We start from the raw sequence: 22,296 nt of genomic DNA on the forward strand, positions 1-22,296 counted from the left end.
TTAATGTCTTACTGAGGCTAATTTGTGAATTAAACTTTATCATAGGTATGCAAGTATAGAAAAAACCATAGGCTACATAGGGCAGCACTATCTGTGCTTTCAGCCATCCACTGGAGGTCTTGGAACTTATCCTCTAAGGATAAGAGGGGACTACTGTGTATAATTTGTTTTTGCTGATGAGTTTCCATTGTCTAGATATACCACAATTTGTTTATTAATTTATCTGTTGCTGAACATTTGAGTTGTTTTCAGTTTTGGGCTAATATAGGTAAAGATGCCATGAATGTTTCCTGTTCACAATCTTATGTGGACATATACTTTGATTTCTCTTAAGTATACATCTAAGAGTGGAATTGCTAGTACATAGTAGAATAAGTAAAGAAAATGCCAAACTCTTTTACAAAGTGATTTTAAATTTCACAGTCCTATTAGCAATGTATGAGGGCTCTACTTGCTCCATATCCTTACCAATACTTGATATTGTTAGTCTTTTTAGTATTAATCATTCTGCTGCATGTGTTATGGTATCTTCTCATTTGATTTTAACTTGTATTTTCCTGATGACTAATGATGTTGTGTATTTTTCATGTACTTAATGGCAATTTATACAAATCTTTTTTGGTAAAGGGTTTACATTTTTTGTTCATTTTTAATTTTTTTGTCTCTTATTATTGAGTTGTAAGAGTTTTTACTACAGCTAGACACAACCCCTTTTCAAGTATAGGTATTGTGAATGTTTTCCATCACTCTGTGGCTTTCTCTTTCATTTTGTTACTGATATCATTAGAAAAGTGAGAGTTGGCTGGGCATGGTGGCTCACATAGTGGCATGTGCCTGTAGTCTCAACTACTCAAAAGGCTGAGGTGGGAGGATTGCTTGAGCCCAGGAGTTTGAGCTATGATTGTGTCACTGCACTGCACTCTACCCTGGGTGAGAGAGTGAAACTGTGTCCTCTTCAACCACCCCATGCCCCCAAAAAAGCAGGAGTGTTTTTTTTTGAAGTCTTGAAGCCCAATTTATCAAAAATTTTTAAATGGTTTATGTCCTGTCTAAAAGATTTTTGCCTACTTCAAAATCTTCAATATTTTCTTTGATAAACTTTATAGTGCTAACTTTTACATATAGGTCTATAATCAATTTCAAGTTAATTTTTTTGTGAATCGTGTGAGGTAAGGATCAACACTCATTTCTGACCCCTATATGATATGCAGTTGTTCCAGCACCACTTATTGAAAAGAAATTACCTTGGCACCTTTGTTAAAAGTCAGTTGACATGTGTGAGAGTGTACATCTGAACTTTCTGTTTCATCTTTTTAACCTTTATGATTCTCCTGATGCCATTGTGATACCACATTGATTACTGTAGCTCCACAGTAAATCTGAGTCCTGAAACCTTTCAATTGTATCCTTTAAAAATTTGTTTTGGTTATTTTATGTCTTTCCCATTTACATGTAAATTCTAGAATATTACACATAGTTATAGTTCATATTTTTAATTTCCTTAAAAAGTTACTCGTTATAATATGGCCCAGCAATTCCACTCTTACATGAAATTTCTCTATAAAAAGTTGTCTGGACCCTTTTCTTACAAAAATTATACAAAAATTCACTCAAAATGAATCGAAGACCTAAGTGTAAGAACCAAAACTCTAAAAACGCTTGAAAAAAACATAAGATAAAAGCTTCATGATGTTAAATTTGGTAATGATTTCTCAGATATGACCCTAAATGCAGAGGTACCACCACCAACTAATATATAGACAAGTGGCACCACATCAAAACTTCTGTGCATTGAAGGATACAGTCAACAAAGTGAAAAGGCAACCTACAAACAGGAGAACATATTTGCAAATCATATATCTGATATCCAGAATGTAAAAAAAAACTTGTACAGCCCAACAGAAAACCAAATGACCCAATTAAAAAATGGGCAAAATACCTGAATGATATCTCTCCAAAGATGATATACAAATGGCTAATAAGCATATGAAAATATATTCAATATCACTAAACATCAGAGAAATATAAATCTAAATCACGATGTGATATTACCTCACACCCATTAGGATAGCTGTTATTTTAAAAAACAGAAATAACAAGCATTGGAGGGGATGTGGAGAAATGGGAACTTTTGTGCACCATTGGTGGTAGTGTAAAATGGTACAACTGCTATTGAAAACAGTATGATGGTTTCTCAAAAAATTAAAAATAGGACCACCATGACCCACTAAATCCCACTTCTGGGGATATTTCCAAAAGAATTGAAAGCATGTCTTGAATAAATATTTGCATATCCATGGTCACAGCAGTAGTATTCACAATAGCATAGAGGTGGAAGCAAACCAAATATCCATTAATGGATGAATGAATAAAGCAAATGTGGTATATACATACAATGCAATATTATTCAGCCTTAAAAAGGAATAGAGTTCTGACATGTGCTGCAACATGGATAACCCTTGAGGATATTATGCCAAGTGAAATAAGCCAGTCATAAAAAGACAAATAATGTATTGTTCCACTTAAATGAGTAATCTAAAATAGTTATTTTTTTGAGAAATTGCCATACTATTTTTACAGAGTAGCTGTACCATTTTACATTCCCGCCAGTAATACAGAAGCATTCTGATTTTTCACATCCTCACCAACACTTATTATTTTTAATAACAGTCATCCCAATAGATGTGAAGCAGTATGTCATTATGATTTTGATTTGCATTTCCCTAATGATTAGTGATGTTGAACATCTTTTCATGTGCTCATTGGTCATTTGTGTATTTCCTTTGGAGAAATATCTGCTGAAGTTCTTTGCACTACTCCCCCTTTTTTTTGCGGGAGATTGGAATTTTATTAATACTCAAATCAGTCTCCCTGAGCATTTGGGGAGCAGAGTTTTTAGGGATAACTTTGTGGGTGAGGGGAGGCCAGTGAGCCGGGAGTGCCGATTGGTTGGGGATGAAATCATAGGGAGTTGAAGCTGTCTTCTTGTGCTGAGTCAGTTCCTGGGTAGGGGCCACAAGATCAGATGAATGAGTTTATTGATCTGGGTGGTGTCAACTGATCCATTAAGTGCAGGGTCTGCAGAATATCTCAAGCACTGATGTTAGGAGCAGTTTAGGGAGGGTCAGAATCTTATAGCCCCCAGCTGCATGACTCCTAGACCATAATTTCTAATCTTATGGCTAATGTTAGTCCTACAAAGGCAATGAAGGCTCCAGGCAAGAAGGAGGTCTGCTTTGGGAAAGGGCTGTTACCATCTTGTTTAAACCATAAACTATAAACTAAGTTTCTCCCAAAGTTACTTCAGCCCACGCCTAAGAATGAATGAGAACAGCTTGGAGGTTAGAAGCAAGATGGAGTCAGTTAAGTTAGATCTCTTTCACTGTCTCAGTCAAAATTTTGCAAAGGCAGTTTCAATCCCTCCTTTTGGAGGGATTTAATCTTAAGGTGTAGGCTATGAAGATGGGAAAAGGCCGTTGATCTCTCTGGCTTCTTCCTGCTGAGAGGGGACATAGTGGGAATGGGAGTGAACCCCATGGTGAGAAGAGTGGAACCGCTTTGCAATTGTCTGAGCGTACTCATGCAGGCCTGGTTGAGCTTCCAAGGCTTGCATCTTTGCCTGCTTTTTAATCGAGTTCTTTTTTTGGGGGTTGTGGAGTTATAGGTGTTTGTTTTGTGTTCTTTTATGATATAGTCAGTACGGTGGGGCCACAAGAGGAGACAAGAGAGGCTCAGGATAAATCAAAAGTTATTATATTTACAACACCTAGATACAGGAGGATTGGCATAGTACACCATGCAGGGCCACATGGGAAAGACACCAGGGTGATCAGGAGGCAGAAGACAGGCCAAGGGAAAACCATTAGGCCAGAGCCTTTGTTGGGGTTCCCATGGGAAAGACAAAGGTGGGAAGGGTGAACAGTTTAGGATTGGCTAATTTAAACACTTTCAGTGGGCTTTGGGCTCTAGGAGTGGTCCTGGTTGTCTGACATCTGGCCCTGGGATGATTAAGTCAGAGGAATATTGCCTCTTGGGATATACAAGCCTGACAGGGAGGCATGGCTCTAGAATGGTTAGTTTGTGTGTCAAAGGCATCCTGGAACCATTGCTATCTTGAAGAATTGACTAGCTAGAAAATCTTTCTCCAGCTAGAAAGGTGTTTTTTAAAGATGTCAAAACATCATAATATATAGAAAATTAAAAAATATATACATATATATACATATACAATACAGGGTTATTTATATGTTCTAGACATTAACACCAGATAGATATACGATTTGCAAATGTTTTCTCTCATTTTATGGGTTGCTTTTTCACACTGTTGATAATGTCTTTTATGCACAAAAGTTTTTACTTTTGATGAGGTCTAATTTATCTATTTTTTCTTTTGTGGCCTGTGCTTTGGTCTCATATCCAAGAAATTATTGGCAAATCCAGTCAAAAAGCTTTCTCCTTGTGTTTTCTTCTGGTTTTCTAGTTTTAAGGTTTATATTTAGGTCTTCGATCCATTTTAAGTTAATTTTTGCATATGGTTTTAGGTAAGGGTCCAACCTAATTCCTTTTCATGTGGATGTCCAGTTTTTCCAGTACCATTTGTTGAAAAGACTGTCCTTTCTCCATTGTGTGGTGATATGGCTTGGCTGTGTCCCCCCACCCAAATCTCATCTTGTAGTTCCCATAATCCCCACCCGGTGGGAGGTAATTGAATCATGAGGGTGGTTACCCCTATGTTGTTCTGCTGATAGTGAGTCGGTTCTCAGGAGATCTGATGGTTTTATAAGGAGCTTCCCCCGCTTCACTCTGCACTTCTCGCTTCTGCTGCCATGTGAAGAAGGACATGTTTGCTTCCCCTTCCGACCTGATTGTAAGTTTCCTGAGGCCTCCCCAGTCCTGTGGAATTGTAAGCCAGTTAAACCTCTTTCCTTGATAAATTACTCAGTCTCAAGTATTTCTTCATAGCAGTGTGAGAATGGACTAATACTTCTGGTCCTGGAACGCTTGTAGAAAATCATTTAACCATATATGGGAGGGTTTATTTCTGGGATCTCTATTCTATTTCATTGGTCTATATGTCTACCTTTCTGCCAGTAAGATACTTTTTTGGTTATTGTAGCTTTGTAATATGTTTTGAAGCCAGGACGTATGAGGCCTTTTCTTTTTCAAGATTGTTTGGCCATTTGGGGATCCTTTAAGATTTTATGTCAAGTTTTTTTTATATTTATGAAAAAATGTCATTGGGATTTTGATAGGGATTGCATTGAATCTGAGGATAGCTTTGGTCAGTCTAGACATTTTAACAATATTAAATCTTCCAATCATAAATATGGACTTCATTTCTATTTATTTGTATCTTCTTTAGTTTCTTTTAGTAATATTTTGTAGTTTTTGGTGTACAAGTCTTTGGCCTCCTTGGTTAAATTTATTTCTAAGTATTTTATTATTTTTGATGCTGTTGTAAATGGGATTACTTTCTTAATTTCCTTTTCTGATTGTTCATTGTTAATATGTAGAAATGCAACTAATTTTCGTGTGTTGATTTTGTATCCTGCAACATTGCTGAATTAGTTTGTTAGTTTAGTTTATTAGTTTTAACAGTTTAAATTTTTTAAACAATGTATTCTATTTAACCCTCTATATTAAAAATATTTCAATGTGTACTCAAATAAAAATTATTAGTGATTTTTACTTTTGATTTTAGCAATTAGAATCTTCTCTATTTTTTTCTTAGTCAATCTAGATAAAGGTGTGTCAATTTTATTGATTTTTTTTAAGAATCAACTTTTGGTTTTATTGATTTTCTCTATTGTTTTTCTATTCTCTATTTTTACTTATCTCCACTCTAATCTTTATTATTTCCTTCCTTCTGCTAGCTTTGGGTTTAGTTTGTTCTTTTTTTTTTTCTAGTTCCTTAAGGTTTAAAATCAGATTGTTGGTTTTAGATATTTCCTTTTTAACATTAGCATTTATAGCTATAAATTTCACCCTTAGCACTGCTTTTGCTACATTTCATAAGTTTTGGTATATTGTGTTTTCATTTTCTGTTGTATCAAGATATTTTCTCTTTTTTTGTGTCAAGATATTTTAAAATTTCCCTTCTGGTTTTCTCTGTAGCTCATTTATTCTTTAAGAGTGTGTTAATTTCCACATATTTATGAATTTTCCAATTTTCCTTTTGCTATTGATTTGTTTCACTCCATTGTGATCAGAAATGATACTTGGTATGAGTTAAATCTTTTAAAAATTTATTAAGACTTTTTTTTTTGCCTAACATGTGGTTTGCCCTGGACAATGTTCCATGTACACTTGAGAAAAATGTATATTCTGCTATTGTTGATGGAGTGTTCTGTATATGTCTGTTAGGTCCAATTGGTTTGTAGTGTTGCTCATGTCCTTTATTTGCTTATTGATCTGTTGGTTCTATCCATTTTTGATATAGTATCTCATATATATATATATGCACACACACACCCCGCCCCATAACACATCAGATGGGGTAATGTGCCAATGTTGTAACAAAGTTTTAGAGAGGCACATCTCATACATGAGTGTGAAAACCCAATCACCATACTTATGAGCTACAAAATGTATAAACACTCCATCAACGACAGCAGAATATACATTTTAATGATAAGTTTTGATTCTTTTTGGTGTATATTCTGTAACTATTTTCTTCATTGTTATCAGGAGGATTACGTAAAATATTCTAAATATAAAACAATATATTTTGAATCGATACCAACATAATCTTGATTGCATACAAAAACTAATCTTTACAGCTCGGCCCCACATTTTATTGTCATTTATGTTATAAACTACCCCTTTATATATTGTGTGCCCATCAAAATAGATTTATAATTATTTTTATGCATTTGTATCTTCAATACTGTGGCAAATATGAAGTTCCTGATTCTTAGGTAGATTCTTAAATTATTGATTTTAAACTACAACTTTTCTTCTAAGTACTATTTTAGCCGTATTTCCCAAATATTCATATGTTTGGGTTTCATTTTCATTAAGCTTTAAAGTTTTTTATTTTGTTTTATTTTGTTTTTTAGAGATGAGGTCTTGGCTGTGTTGCCCAGGCTGGAGTGCAGTGGCTCTCCACAAGCACAATCATAGTGTACTGCCAGCCTCTAACTCCTGACCTCAAGCAATTCTTCCACATTGGCCTCCCAAGTAACTGGGAATATAGATACATGCCACTGTGCCCAGCTCTCATTTTCATTAAGTTTAAGATATTTACTTGTTAATATTGCAATTTATTTCTTTACTCATTTATTATTTAGAAATATATTTTTAAATTTTTAAATATTTAAATATATAAAATTTTAAATATTTAAAAATATTTCCAGATATTTTATTGTTATTGATTTCTAATTTAATTCCACTGCAGTCAGAGAACATAATCTGCAAAATTTCAGTTTTTAACATTTATTGGAACTTTTTTTATGACCTAGCATATATTCTGTCTTGTTGAAATTTCCATATGCCCTGAAAGGGAATGTGTATTCCAGTTATTCAGTGGAGCAGTCCATAAATGTCAATTATGTTCAGTTGATTGACTGTGTTAAGTGTTTTGTAGCCTCACTGATTTACTGTCTACTTATTCTTTCAGTTATTGAGACAAGAGTGTTGAAATATCCAGCTATAATTATGAATTATTTTATTTGTTTTTTAAATTATATTAGTAAAGTTTGCTTTGTTTTATATTAACATACCAATTCCAGCTTTATTACTTTTTTTTTTTTTGACACAGGGTCTCACTCTGTCACCTAGGCTGGAGTACAGTAGTGCAAACATAGTTCACTGTGCTTTGACCTCCTGGGCTTAAGTAATTTTCCCACCTCAGCCTCCTGAGTAGCTGGGATGACAGGCACACATCAGTGTGCCTGGCTAATTTTTTTTATTTTTTTTATAGCGATGAGGTCTCACCATGTTGCTTAGGCTGGCCTCAACCTCCTAGGTTTAAGCAATCCTCCCCCACTTGGCCTCCCAAAGTGTTAGGATTTCAGGTGTGAGCCACCACACCTGGCCTCCAGCTTTAGTATCTTCAATGTTTGCATCATATATCTTTTTTCTATATTTTTATACTTATTTGTGTTTTAAAATTTAAAGTGAGTTTTTTGAATTCAGTATATAGTTGGGTCATGCTTTAAAAAATCTAGTTTGGTATCTGCCTTTTAATTAAAATATTTAGATCATTTACATTTAATATAATAAATGAAAAAGTTGGATTTAAGTCTGCCATCTTGATTTTTTTATTTAAATTTTTTTTCATTTTTCTTTTTATTTCTTAGATCTACCTAATTGTCTGACATTTGTTTTCTATTTCCTTCATCTGCTCTTTACTCTTTATCCATCTCCGTTTTTTTGGCCTTTGATATGATTTGGATGTTGTCCCCTCTAAATCTCATGTTGAATTTTAATCCCCAGTGTTGGAGGTTGGGCCTGGTGAGAGATGTTTCAGTCATGGGGGTGGACACCTCATGGTTTGGTGCTATCCTTACAATAGTGAGTGAGTTCTTACAAGACATGGTTGCTTAAAAGTGTGTAACACCTCCCTCCACTCCAACTCTTTCTTGTTCCTGCTCTGGCCATGTGATATGCCTGCTCTTGCTTCACCTTTCACCATAAGTAAAAGCTTCCTGAGGCCTCACCAGAAACTGAGCAGATGCCCAGCACCATGCTTCCTGTACAGCCTACAGAACTATGAGCCAATTAAATCTCTTTTCTTTATAAATTACCCAGTCTTAAGTGTTTCTTTATAGTAATGCAAGAATAGCCAAACAGCCTTCTTTTGGAGTGTTTTTCTATTCCATTTTATCTGCTAATGTCTTATAACTAAATACCTTTTAAACGGCTTTCTTGTAGTTACTCTAGGGCTTACAATGTATATCAATAGCAGGGCACAGTGGCTCATATCTGTAATCCCAGCACTTTGAGAGGCTGAGGTGGGTGGATCACTTGAGGCCAGGAGTTTGAGACCAGCCTGGCCAAAATGGTGAAACACTGTTTCTACTAAAAATAAAAAAAATTAGCTCGGCATGGTGGCATGTGCCTCTGGTACCAGCTACTTGGGAGGTTGAGGCAGGAGAATCGCTTGAACCCATAAGGCAGAGGCTACAGTGAGCTGAGATCGCACCGCTATACTCCAGCCTGGGCAACAGAGTGAGACTCTGTCTCAAAATAAATAAATAAATAAAATATACATCAACATCACAGACTACCTTCAAATATTATATCATTTAATGCACAATATAAGAGTCTTACAATAATATACTTCAATCTCTCCCTCTCATACTTTGTGCACATACTTTGTCTTATATGTTACAAATCCCCAAATATATTGTTATAATTTTTGCTTCAGTCAGTTATCTGTAATAAAACTTACAAGTGAAAAGAAAGTCTTTTATATTTACCCAAATATTTACACCATTTCTAGCACTTTTTATTCTTTTTTTAATATGCAAGCTTTTATTTCAATAATTTTCCACTGCTTGAAGCACTTCCTTTAATATATACATTTTTTGACTTTTAAAAATTTTGTTTTAAGTTCCAGGATACATGTGCAGGAGGTGCAGGTTTGTTACACAGGTAAACATGTGCCATGGCAGTTTGCTGCACCTATCAACCCATCACCTAGGTATTAAGCCCCACATGCATTAGCTATTTATCCTGATGCTCTCTCTCGCCTGACTCTCGACAGGCCCCAGTGTGTGTTGTTCCCCTCCCTGTGCCCATGTGTTCTCATTGTTCAGCTGCCACTTATAACTGAGAACATGTGGTGTGTGGTTTTCTGTTCCTGTGTTAGTTTCCTGAGGAGAATGGCTTCCAGTTCCATCCATGTCCCTGCAAAGGACATGATCACATTCCTTTTTATGGCTGCATAGTATTCTATGGTGTATATGTACCACATTTTCTTTATCCAGTCTATCATTGATGGGTGTTTGGGATGATTTCATGTTTTTGCTATTGTGAATAGTGCTGCAAGGAACATACATGTGCATATATCTTTATAATAGAATGATTTATATATATATCTTAAATTATACTTTAACTTCTAGGGTACATGTGCACAACATGCAGGTTTGTTACATAGGTATACATGTGCCATGTTGGTTTGCTGCACCCATCAACTCGTCATTTACCCTAGGCATTTCTCCGAATGCTATCCCGTCCCCAGCTCCCCACCCCCTGACAGGCCCCGGTGTGTGATATTCCCCACCCTGTGTCCATGTTTTCTCATTGTTCAATTCCCACCTATGAATGAGAACATGTGGTGTTTGGTTTTCTGTCCTTGTGATAGTTTGCTGAGAATGGTGGTTTCCAGCTTCATCCATGTCCCTGCAAAAGACATAAACTCATCCTTTTTTATGGATGCATAGTATTCCATGGTGTATATGTGCCACATTTTATTTTTATTTATTTATTTTATTATTTTATTTTTTATTTATTAATTTTTTATTATACTTTAAGTTGTAGGGTACATGTGCACAACGTGCAGGTTTGTTTCAAATGTACACAGGTGCCATGTTGGTGTGCTGCACCTGTTAACTTGTCATTTATATTAGGTATAACTCTTAATGCTATCCCTCCCCCTTCCCCCTACCCCATGACAGGCCCTGGTGTGTGATGATCTCCACCCTGTGTCCAAGTGCTCTCACTGTTCAATTCCCACCTATGAGTGAGAACATGTGGTGTTGGTTTTCTGTCCTTGCAATAGTTTGCTCAGAATGATGGTTTCCAGCTTCATCCATGTCCCTACAAAGGACATGAACTCATCTTTTTTATGGCTGCATAGTATTCCATCGTGTATATGTGCCACATTTTCTTAATCCAGTCTATCATTGTTGGACATTTGGGTTGGTTCCAAGTCTTTGCTACCGTGAATAGTGCTGCAATAAACATATGTGTGCATGTGTTTTTATAGCAGCATGATTTATAATCCTTTGGGTATATACCCAGTAATGGGATGGCTGGGTCAAATGGTATTTTTATTCCTAGATCCTTGAGGAATCGCCACACTGTCTTCCACAATGGTTGAACTAGTTTACACTCCCACCAACAGTGTAAAAGCCTTCCTATTTCTCCACATCCTCTCCAGCACCTGTTGTTTCCTGACTTTTTAATGATTGCCATTCTAACTGGTGTGAGATGGTATCTCATTGTGGTTTTGATTTGCATATCTCTGATGACCAGTGATGATGAGCATTTTTTCAGCTGTCTGTTGGCTGCATAAATGTCTTCTTTTGAGAAGTGTTTGTTCATATCCTTTGCCCACTTTTTGACGGAGTTGTTTTTTTTTTCTTGTAAATGTGTTTAAGTTCTTTGTAGATTCTGGATATTAGCCCTTTGTCAGATGGGTAGATTGCAAATTTTTTCTCCCATTCTGTAGGTTGTCTCTTCACTCTGATGGTAGTTTCTTTTGTTGTGCAGAAGCTCTTTAGTTTAATGAGATCCCATTTGTCAATTTTGGCTTTTGTTGCCATTGCTTTTGATGTTTTAGTTATGAAGTCTTTGCCCATGCCTGTCCTGAATGGTATTGCTTAGGTTTTCTTCTAGGGTTTTTATGGTTTTAGGTCTTACATTTAAGTTTTTAATCCATCTTGAGTTAATTTTTGTATAAGGTGTAAGGAAGGGATCCAGTTTCAGCTTTGTACATGTGGCTAGCCAGTTTTCCCAACACCATTTATTAAATAGGGAATCCTTTCCCCATTTCTTGCTTTTGTCAGGTTTGTCAAAGATCAGATGGTTGTAGATGTGTGGTGTTATTTCTGAGGCCTCTGTTCTGTTCCATTGGTCTATATATCTGTTTTGGTACCAGTACCATGCTGTTTTGGTTACTGTAGCCTTGTAGTATAGTTTGAAGTCAGGTAGCATGATGCCTCCAGCTTTGTTCTTTTGGCTTAGGATTGTATTGGCTATGCAGGCTCTTTTTGGTTCCATATGAACTTTAAAGTAGTTTTTTCCAATTCTGTGAAGAAAGTCATTGGTAGCTTGATGGGGATGTCATTGAATCTATAAATTACCTTGGGCAGTATGGCCATTTTCATGATATTGATTCTTCCTATCCATGAGCATGGAATGTTCTTCCACTTGTTTGTGTCCTCTTTTATTTTGTTGAGCAGTGGCTGTAGCTCTCCTTGAAGAGGTCCTTCACATAAGTTGGATTCCTAGGTGTTTTATTCTCTTTGTAGCAATTGTGAATGGGAGTTCACTCATGATTTGGCTCTCTGTTTGTCTGTTATTGGTGTATAGGAATGCTTGTGACTTTTGCACATTGATTTTGTATCCTGAGGCTTTGCTGAAGTTGCTTATCAGCTTAAGGAGATTTTGGGCTGAGATGATAGGGTTTTCTAAATATACAATCATGTCATCTGCAAACAGCTACAATTTGACACCCTCTTTTCCTAAATGAATACCCTTTATTTCTTTCTCTTGCCTGATTGCCCTGGCCAGAACTTCCAACACTATGTTGAATAGGAGTGGTGACAGAGGGCATCCTTGTCTTGTGCTGGTTTCAAAGGGAATGCTTCCAGTTTTTGCCCATTCTGTGTGATACTGGCTGTGGGTTTGTCATAAATAGCTCTTATTATTTTGAGATATGTTCCATCAATACCTAGTTTATTGAGAGTTTTTAGCATGAAGGGCTGTTGAATTTTGTCGAAGGCCTTTTCTGCGTCTGTTGAGATAATCATGTGGTTTTTGTCTTTGGTTCTGTTTTGTGATGGATTACATTTACTGATTTGAGTGTGTTGAACCAGCCTCGCATCCCAGGGTGAAGCCCACTTGATCATGGTGGATAAGCTTTTTGATGTGCTGCTGGATTTGGTTTGTCAGTATTTTATTGAGGATTTTTGCATCAATGTTCATCAGGGATATTGGTCTAAAATTCTCTTTTTTTGTTGTGTCTCTGCCAGGCTTTGGTATGAGGATGATGCTGGCCTCATAAAATCAGTTAGGGAGGATTCCCTCTTTTTCTATTGATTGGAATAGTTCCTGAAGGAATGGTACCAGCTCCTCTTCGTACCTCTGGTAGAATTTGGCTGTGAATCTGTCTGGTCCTGAACTTTTTTTGGTTGGTAGGCTATTAATTATTGCCTCAATTTCAGAACCTGTTATTGGTCTATTCAGAGATTCAGCTTCTTCCTGGTTTATTCTGGGGAGGGTGCATGTGTCTAGGAATTTATCCACTTCTAGATTTTCTAGTTTATTTGGGTAGAGGTGTTTATAGTATTCTCTGATGGTAGTTTGTATTTCTGTGGGATCGGTGGTGATATCCCCTTTATCATTTTTTATTGTGTCTATTTGATTCTTCTGTCTTTTCTTCTTTATTAGTCTTGCTAGCAGTCTATCAATTTTGTTATCTTTTCAAAGAAACAGCTCCTGGATTCATTGAGTTTTTGAAGAGTTTTTTGTGTCTCTATCTCCTTCAGTTCTGCTCTGATCTTAGTTATTTCTTGCCTTCTGCTAGCTTTTGAATGTGTTTGCTCTTGCTTCTCTAGTTCTTTTAATTGTGATGTTAGGGTGTCAATTTTAGATCTTTCGTGCTTTCTCTTGTGGGCATTTAGTACTATAAATTTCCCTCTACACGCTGCTTTAAATGTGTCCCACAGATTCTGGTACATTGTGTCTTTGTTTTCATTGGTTTCAAAGAACATCTTTATTTCTGCCTTCATTTCATTATTTACCCAGTAGTCATTCAGGAGCAGGTTGTTCAGTTTCCATGTAGTTGTGCAGTTTTGAGTGAGTTTCTTAATCCTGAGTTCTAATTTGATTGCACTGTAGTCTGAGAGACAGTTTGTTGTGATTTCTGTTCTTTTCCATTTGCTAAGGAGTGCTTTACTTCCATTTATGTGGTCAATTTTAGAATAAGTGTGATGTGGTGCTGAGAAGAATGTATATTCTGTTGATTTGGGGTGGAGAGTTCTGTAGATGTCTATTAGGTCCGCTTGGTGCAGAGCTGAATTCAAGTCCTGGATATCCTTGTTAACCTTCTGTCTTATTGATCTAACATTGACAGTGGGGTGTTAAAGTCTCCCATTATTATTGTGTAGGAGTCTAAGTCTCTTTGTAGGTCTCTAAGGACTTGCTTTATGAATCTGGGTGCTCCTGTATTGGGTGCATATATATTTAGGATAGTTAGCTCTTCTTGTTGAATTGATCCCTTTACCATTATGTAATGGCCTTCTTTGTCTCTTTTGATCTTTGTTGGTTTAAAATCTGTTTTATCAGAGACTAGGATTGCATCCCCTGCTTTTTTTCCTTTCCATTTGCTTGGTAGATCTTCCTCCATCCCTTTGTTTTGAGCCTATATGTGTCTTTGCATGTGAGGTGGGTCTCCTGAATGCAGCACACTGATGGGTCTTGGCTCTTTATCCGATTTGCCAGTCTGTGACTTTTTTTTTTTTTTTTTTTTTTTTTTTTTGAGACAGAGTCTCGCTCCGTCGCCCAGGCTGGAGTGCAGTGGTGTGATCTCGGCTCACTGCAAGCTCCACCTCCTGGATTCATGCCATTCTCCTGCCTCAGCCTCCCGAGTAGCTGGGACTACAGGTGGCTGCCATGACACTTGGCTAATTTTTTGTATTTTTAGTAGAGACGAGGTTTCACCATGTTAACCAGGATGGTCTCGATCTCCTGACCTCGTGATCTGCCTGCCTCAGCCTCCCAAAGTGCTGGGATTACAGGTGTGAGCCACTGTGCCCGGCCTGGTCTGTGTGTTTTAATTGAGGCATTTATCCCATTTACATTTAAGGTTAATATTGTTATGTATGAACTTGATCCTGTCATTATGATGTTAGCTGGCTATTTTGCCCATTAATTGATGCAATTTCTTCATAGCACTGATGGCCTTTACAATTTGGCATGTTTTTGCAGTGGCTGGTACTGGCTTTTCCTTTCTATGTTTAGTGCTTCCTTCAGGAGCTCTTGGAAGGCAGGCCTGGTGGTTACAAAATCTCTCAGCATTTGCTTGTTTGTAAAGGATTTCATTTCTCCTTCACTTATGAAGCTTAGATTGGCTGGATATGAAATTCTGGGTTGAAAATTCTTTTCTTTAAGAATGTTGAATATTGGCCCTCACTCTCTTTTGGCTTGTAGGGTTTCTGCTGAGAGATCAGGTGTTAGTCTGATGGGCTTCCCTTTGTGGGTAACCTGACCTTTCTCTCTGGCTGCCCTTAACATTTTTTCCTTCATTTCAACCTTGGTGAATCTGACAATTAGGTGTCTTGGGGTTGCTCTTCTCGAGGAGTATCTTTGTGGTGTTCTCTGTATTTCCTAAATTTGAATGTTGGCCAGCCTTGCTAGGTTGGGGAAGTTCTCCTGAATAATATCCTGAAGAATGTTTTCTAACTTGGTTCATTTCTCCCTGTTGCTTTCGGGTACACAGTCAAACGTAGATTTGGTCTTTTCACATAGTCTTGGAGGCTTTGTTCATTTCTTTTTATTCTTTTCTCTCTAATCTTGCCTTCTTGCTTTATTTCATTAATTTGATCTTCAATCAGTGGTATCCTTTTTTCCTCTTGATTGAATCGGCTATTGAAGCTTGTGCGTATATCACGAAGTTCTCGTGCTATGGTTTTTAGCTCCATCAGGTCATTTAAGGTCTTCTCTACACTGTTTATTCTAGTTAGTCATTCGACAAACCTTTTTTCAGGGTTTCTAGCTTCCTTGTGTTGGGCTAGAACATGCTGCTTTAGCTCGGAGAAGTTTGTTATTATCAACCCTCTGAAGCCTACTTCTGTCAACTCATCAAGTCATTCTCTGTCCAGTTTGTTCCATTGCTGGTGAGGAGCTGTGACCCTTGGGAGGAGAAAAGGCCCCCTGGTTTTTGGAATTTTCATCTTTTCTGCTCTGGTTCCTCCCCATCTTTTTGTTTTTATCTACCTTTGGTCTTTGACGTTGGTTACCTACAAATGGGGTTTTGGTGTGGATGTCCTTTTTGTTGATGTTAGTTTTCCTTCTAACAGTCAGGCCTCTTAGCTACAGGTCTGTTGGAGTTTGCTGGAGTTCCACTCCAGACCCTGTTTGCCTGGGTATCACCACTGGAGGCTGCAGAACAGCAAATATTGCAGAACAGCAAATATTGCTGCCTGATCTTTCCTCTGGAAGCTTCGTCCTAGAAGGGCACCCACCTGTGTGAGATGTCTCTTGGCCCCTACTGGGAGATGTCTCCCAGCCAGGCTACATGGGGCTCATGGACCCACTTGAGGAGGCAGTCTGTCCATTCTCAGAGCTTGAACGCTGTGCTGGGAGAACCACTGTTCTCTTCAGAGCTGTCAGACAGGGACGTTTAAGTCTGCAGAAGTTGTCTGCTGCCTTTTGTTCAGCTATGCCCTGCCCACAGAGGTGGAGTCTACAGAGGCAGTAGGCCTTGCTGAGCTGCAGTGGGCTCCACCCAGTTCAAGCTTTCCCGGCCACTTTGTTTACCTACTCAAGCGTCAGCAATGGCGGATGCCCCTCCCTCCGACAGGCTGCAGCCTAGCAGGTGGATCTCAGACTGCTGCGCTAGCAGTGAATAAGGCTCTGTGGATGTGGGACCTGCTGAACCAGGCATGGGAGGGAATCTCCTGGTCTGCTGGTTGCTAAGACCATGGGGAAAGCACAGTATGTGGGTGGGAGTGTACTGTTTTCCCAGATACATTATGTCACGGCTTCCCTTGGCTAGGAAAGGGAAATCCCCCGACCCCTTGCATGTCTTGGGTGAGGCATCACCTTGCCCTGCTTTAGTTCACTTTTCGTGGGCAGCTCCCACTGTCCAACCAGTCCCAGTGAGATGAACCAGGTACCTCAGTTGGAAATGCAGAAATCACCTATCTTCTGCATAGACCTTGCTGGGAGCTGCAGACCAGAGCTCTTCCTATTCAGCCATCTTGGAAGTGACCCCTTTAATATTTTTTTGTAGTATAGATATGCTAGTGATGAATTATCTTAGCTTTTGCTTTTCTGTAAATATTTTTGTTTGCCTTCTTTTTTTTTTCTTTAGATGGAATCTTGCTCTGTCACCTAGGCTGGAATGCAGTGGCACGATGTTGGTTCAGTACAACCTCTGCCTCCTGAGTTCAAGCGATTCTCCTGCCTCAGACTCCTGAGTAGCTAGGATTACACATGCCTGCCACCACACTCAGCTAATTTTTGTATTTTTTAGTAGAGACGGGGGTTTCACCATGTTGGCCAGGCTGGTCTCGAATGCCTGACCTCAAGTGATCTGTCCGCCTTGGCCTCCAAGGTGCTGGGATTACAGGTGTGAGCCACCACGCTGGGCCTGCCTTCATTTTTGAGATATATTTTTATTGTATATAGAATCCTAAGTTGACAGTTATTTTTTTCTGTTAGTATTTTAAAGATGTTGTCTCCTTTCTGGATTTCTGATGAGAGGTCTGAAATCATTTTCATCTTTGTTCCTCTGTAAACAATGAGTTATTTTTTTCCTCTGGCTTTCAGGAATTTGATTAAGATGTTGCTTGATGTGCTTTGCTTTATATTTATTTTGTTTGAGGTTTGTTGAACTTCTTGGATCTGTCTTTCTGATTTTCATCAAATTTGTAAAAAAAAAAGTTGGCATTATTTCTTTCAAAGTTTTCTTATGCTTCTTTATATACCTCTTTCTCTGGGACTCCAATTATTAAACTGTTTGATTTTGTTCCATAGGATATTGAGACTGTTCATTTTTATAGTTTTTTATTTTGTTTTGTGCCTTATTTTGGCTAGTTGCTACAGTTACTTCTTCAATTACATATTTTCTTTTATAATATCTAATATCTAGTTATTCCTATCCAGTGAAAGTTTCTCTTGAGCTGTTGTGTTTTTCATTTCTGATATTTCTATTTAAAACAATAACTTCCACTTTTCCTTTCGCTTGTGCTTTTCTTTTAACTAGTTAAGCATTTTGAACACATTTATAAAAGCTCTTTTAATGCCTTTGTGTGTTAATTACATAAGTTTTGTCATTTCTAGGTCTGTTTCCATTGATTAATTTTTTTCTTAAATTTTAGTTTTACATTGAAAAATATTATTTATTTATTTTTGAGATAGTGTCCTGCTCTTTCATCCAGGCTGGAGTGCAGTGGCATTATCTTGGCTTACTGCAGCCTCAGCCTCCTGGGCTATCCATTCTATGCTAGCTAGACAATCTTGGTACCTCCTTTCACAGCCATAGCAGTCATTCCAGGAGTAGATAGTGTCAATCATAGTCTTCAATAGCACTAATATACAGACATAGACAGAGATGCATGTTCTCTGGCTTGGCATGTTAAGCTGGGAGAATGTGAATCTGGGTCAATTAAAGATCATTTCCCTCTGCCTTATGGAGAAAGACTGACTGCTGTGGGAGAGAATGAAATCAACCATTGAGTGAAGAAGAGCAAATGGGTAGAGATAGAAGAATAAAATAGAAAAATAAAAATATTGGGAAATCCCTAGATCCATCTGTGCACAAAGCTAGCAAATCCCCACCTTTCTCTGAACACTTTGAACCAATTAATTTCCATTTTGCTTAGTTTAGTTTGAGCTGAGATTTTCTTACTTATATTTGAAAGAATTTGGTTCAAGACAGCCCCCTCTGTTTTTGTAATAAAGTATAGCTCCAGGGAAGCTACTCACTGACCCCAGAAGCCTTCCCTGCTTTTGGTACTTTATGCTGACATTCCTACCAGGCATACCATGCTATGCTTATCAAAATGGAATTCAGAACAAGTCTTGGTGCCATGGAAAGAACTCAAGCTCAGAGTCAGAAATATGTGGATTAAAGATTTTTTGCTGCCTATTAGCTGTGTGAGCTGTAAGGTTACTGCACATATTCTATTTCCTTCCCAATAAAGATGGGAGGAAGAGGGGAGGAAGAAGACAAGCCCATAGTACCAGTGAGAATTAGATTTAATCACACAGAACTGGAAACCTAAGAATTCTTTGATAACATAGAAGTTTGTTTCTTTGTCATGTAAATTAATTGGAGGTAACTGATCCAGACTTCACAAAGCCATCAGGCAGCCACCCCTTCTAACTTTTTTCTCCACCATCCTAACATATGACTTCTATTCTCAAAGTTCTTCCCTGCAGAATCGATGTGTTTCACCCACCCAGGTCCACAGAGAAATGGTTAGGAAAGTGGACAGGTATTTTTCTGTGTTGGAAATTTTCTTCTCAGAAGGGAGTTTTCCTGTGCTCCTATGGTTCATGCCAGTTAGCAGGATCTGCCTAAGCAGGAAGTTGGATGCTTTCTGAATTTCCAACAAATGGGAAGAGATTCAATAAAAGACTATGCGATAGTAGCAACCATGATGAGTTGTAAGTATTTTTATCAGCTGGGAAAGGTAGTGCTTTGCTTAAAATGATTAAGCTTGGATGCATCTGTGGGGATGGCAAGGAAAGGATGAATATAGGGAAGCTAAATGATTTGGGGACTCTAGGAATATGGGCAAAAGTAAAACCTAATTTCACACAGATGCCTGGCATCTCAAAGGTCCCCTTCTCCCCATCTGCCATGATTCTCCCCATCTGCCATGATTCTCCCCATTCCTCTGGCATCCTTTTTTGGCCTCTTTTTTCCCATAACTTCATCCTTCCTAGCCTCTTGTTTTTCACTCCTCTAGTCCCACCTCCCCTAATCTATCTTCGTAACAGAGCAGGAGATGTCTTCCCAAAACACAATTTTGTTACCTGCTTTTCTATTTTGGTGACTTGGAGGGTTTGTTTTGCATCATGGTGCTAGGTTTTCATCACTAGGACCAGTTTCATCAGGATCCTTAGCCCCTAGGATCCTGGAATAATGTAATTTAAGAGGTTAAGACAAAGCCTACTTGACAGTTAGCCTCTTAGGAGATTTTTATTGATACTGAACCAGTATCATGTCTTTGGAGTTAAGCCTGAACCACAGAGTCAGGGTGGTCTAAGCTGTGCTGCACTATCAACTCTGAAATCTCAGTGGGTTGATTCAACAAAAGTGTATTTTTTGCCTATGTTAAGTAGGCAATTTGTGCGAGCAAGGGGCTCTTCTCCACACAGACACTCAGGGACCACAGTCTCCACCATCTTATAGAGGCACTTCCTTGAACATGTGGTCCTCTCAGCGCCTGCAGCAGAAGAGAGCACTGGAGAGTGCCTGTCCTTGGAATTAGTTCTTCTTCCCTAATTAGAGTGTAAGTCTCTTGAGGGCAGGGACTGTGTCTTATATTCATCTATTTATTTATTCTGTCAGAAATCTGGGCAGAAATTGGTATTAAGGTATAGTTTGGCCAAGAACCCGGGAAAACCAAAATTCTACCCATTCTTTCTGAGTGTGGCCAGGCCCGGTGGTGCGTGCCTGTACTCCCAGCACTTTGGGAAGTCTAGGCGGGTGGATCACTTGAGGCCAGGTGTTTGAGACCAGCCTGGCCAGCATGGTGGAACCCCGTCTCTATTAAAAATACAAAAATTAGCTGGGTACGGGCCAGGCGTGGTGGCTTACGTCTTTAATCCCAGCACTTTGGGAAACTGAAGTGGTTGGATAACCTGAGCTCAGGAGTTTGAGACCAGCCTGGGCAACACAGTGAAACCCCAGCTCTAGAAAAAAGTAAAAAAACAAAAATTACCCGGGCGTGCTAGTGCACATCTGTAGTCCCAGCTATTTGGGAGGCGGAGGTGGGAGGATCGCTTGAACTCGGGAGGTGGAGGTTGCAGTGAGCTGAGATCATGCCACTGCACTCCAGCCTGAGTGACAGAGCAAAACCCTGTCTCAAAAAAAAAAAAAAAAAAAAAAAAAAGGAAAGAAAATGTAGTTGAGTGCCAGTTCTGCTCTGCCTATGTGGTCAAGACCTGAAGAGGAAAGACTGAGCCATTCCACCCCTTCCAGAGCTAGAAGGCTGTAATCAGAGAGTGCAATTGTGAGAATGGAAGCACCAATTTCCAGCATCTGGTACCAGGCTGGCTTAGTGCTGTGCCAGGGCTGGTGCCATGTGGGAGAAGAGGCAGGAGGTAAGATAGGCTGCTGAGTCTTCTCCATCAGGGACTCACTCTGTCTCTTTACTCTCTTATGTGCACAGACCTCCTAACATGGTGCCTTCACCCTTCAGCCCAATAAGTGTTCACAAAACTGACCAGACCACGGAAATTCCTTCTCCTTGGGCAACTGAAGAAGAGGATAAAGAGAAAGAAAGGAGGCTTGAATGTTTTCCTTTCAAGGCAATATGTTACTTACTTAATATTAGAATTAACTAATTAAAAAACCTCTTAGCTTCTCCTATGGGCAGACATTCTTCAAAGTTACCATATCAGGACTGGAGGCAAATAATAAATATCTAATGGTACAACAGGCCACAGTTTTTACTATCCTAGTGAAATCTGCATACTTTCAAAATTAAATCTGCTTGATTCCACCCACTAGAGTTTGCAGGTAACAACAATGACATAATGATGATGTCGACAGCAATGGGTCTTGCTGATTCAGTGCTTACTATTACCTGTCACAATACTAACTGCAATGTACTGCTCATTTCTCACAACAAACCAGAGGATGAGATGTTATTCCTCTCCATTTTGTAGATAAGCTGACTGGGGTACAGAGAGGTAAAGCGGCTTACCTAAAGACACACAGCAAGTGACAGGCAAGGCCAGTTCTGCCTGGACTCACAGTCCCAGTTTCTTCTTTTGCCTCCTTGATGAAAGCATCACTTTGAGGAAAGGCAAGGTTTTCCTAAGTTTACCTAGAAGAGGTTTGCATTTGAAACTTCTATAATAATAATTTTAATAATATTCATAAAAAACATATCATCCTAGTACTTAATAATATACATACTTACCATGTATCAGATGCTGTTCTAAGTACTTTACATATTTCCGTTCATTGAATCCTCACAACAGCACTGTGAGACAGGTACTATTATTATTCCCATTCTTCAGATGAAGCCACTGAGGCACAAGGTTAAGTAACTTGAAGTTTTATACCTAATAAATTAAGTCTGGTTTGAATTGTCCGAACTGTCTGACAGTTAGACATACTGACAATTATAACTATTCTATGTATAAGTAAATAAAACTATACAGGCATGCCTCATTTTATTATGCCTCAAGATACTGCATTTTTTTTACAGATTAAAGGTTTGCGGCAACCCTGGGTTGAGCAAGTCTATCAGTGCCATTTTCCCAACGGCATGTACTTGCTTTGTCTTTGTGTTACATTTGGATAATTCTCATAATAATTCAAATGTTTCCATTATTATTATATCTGTTATGGTGATCTGTGATCAGTGATCCTTGATGTTACTATTGTAATGGTTTTAGGGCTCCATAAACTGCACCCAGATGAGAGGAAGAACTTTG

At 38.4% G+C, this 22,296-nt stretch overlaps 1 long non-coding RNA gene and 1 other non-coding gene across 3 annotated transcripts in view; one reads left to right on the forward strand and one right to left on the reverse strand.

The window, feature by feature from the left end:
- LOC105371240 (uncharacterized) overlaps positions 1 to 22,296 on the forward strand; it is a 124,894-nt gene that overhangs the window by 28,459 nt on the left and 74,139 nt on the right. Inside the window, exon 2 of one of the 2 annotated variants that reach the window (NR_188477.1) lies at positions 19,966 to 20,138. The exons of the other annotated variant lie outside the window; for it this stretch is intronic. This is a non-coding gene — a long non-coding RNA (uncharacterized LOC105371240). The remainder of the gene's footprint in view (positions 1 to 19,965; positions 20,139 to 22,296) is intronic. 2 annotated transcript variants of the gene reach the window in all.
- On the reverse strand, positions 6,486 to 6,591 carry LOC124903794 (small nucleolar RNA U13). The gene has a single exon (XR_007065239.1). It is a non-coding gene; the product is annotated as a small nucleolar RNA U13 (small nucleolar RNA).

Source organism: Homo sapiens, chromosome 16 (genome assembly GCF_000001405.40).
Source record: "Homo sapiens chromosome 16, GRCh38.p14 Primary Assembly".
Taxonomy (NCBI): Eukaryota; Metazoa; Chordata; class Mammalia; order Primates; family Hominidae; genus Homo; species Homo sapiens.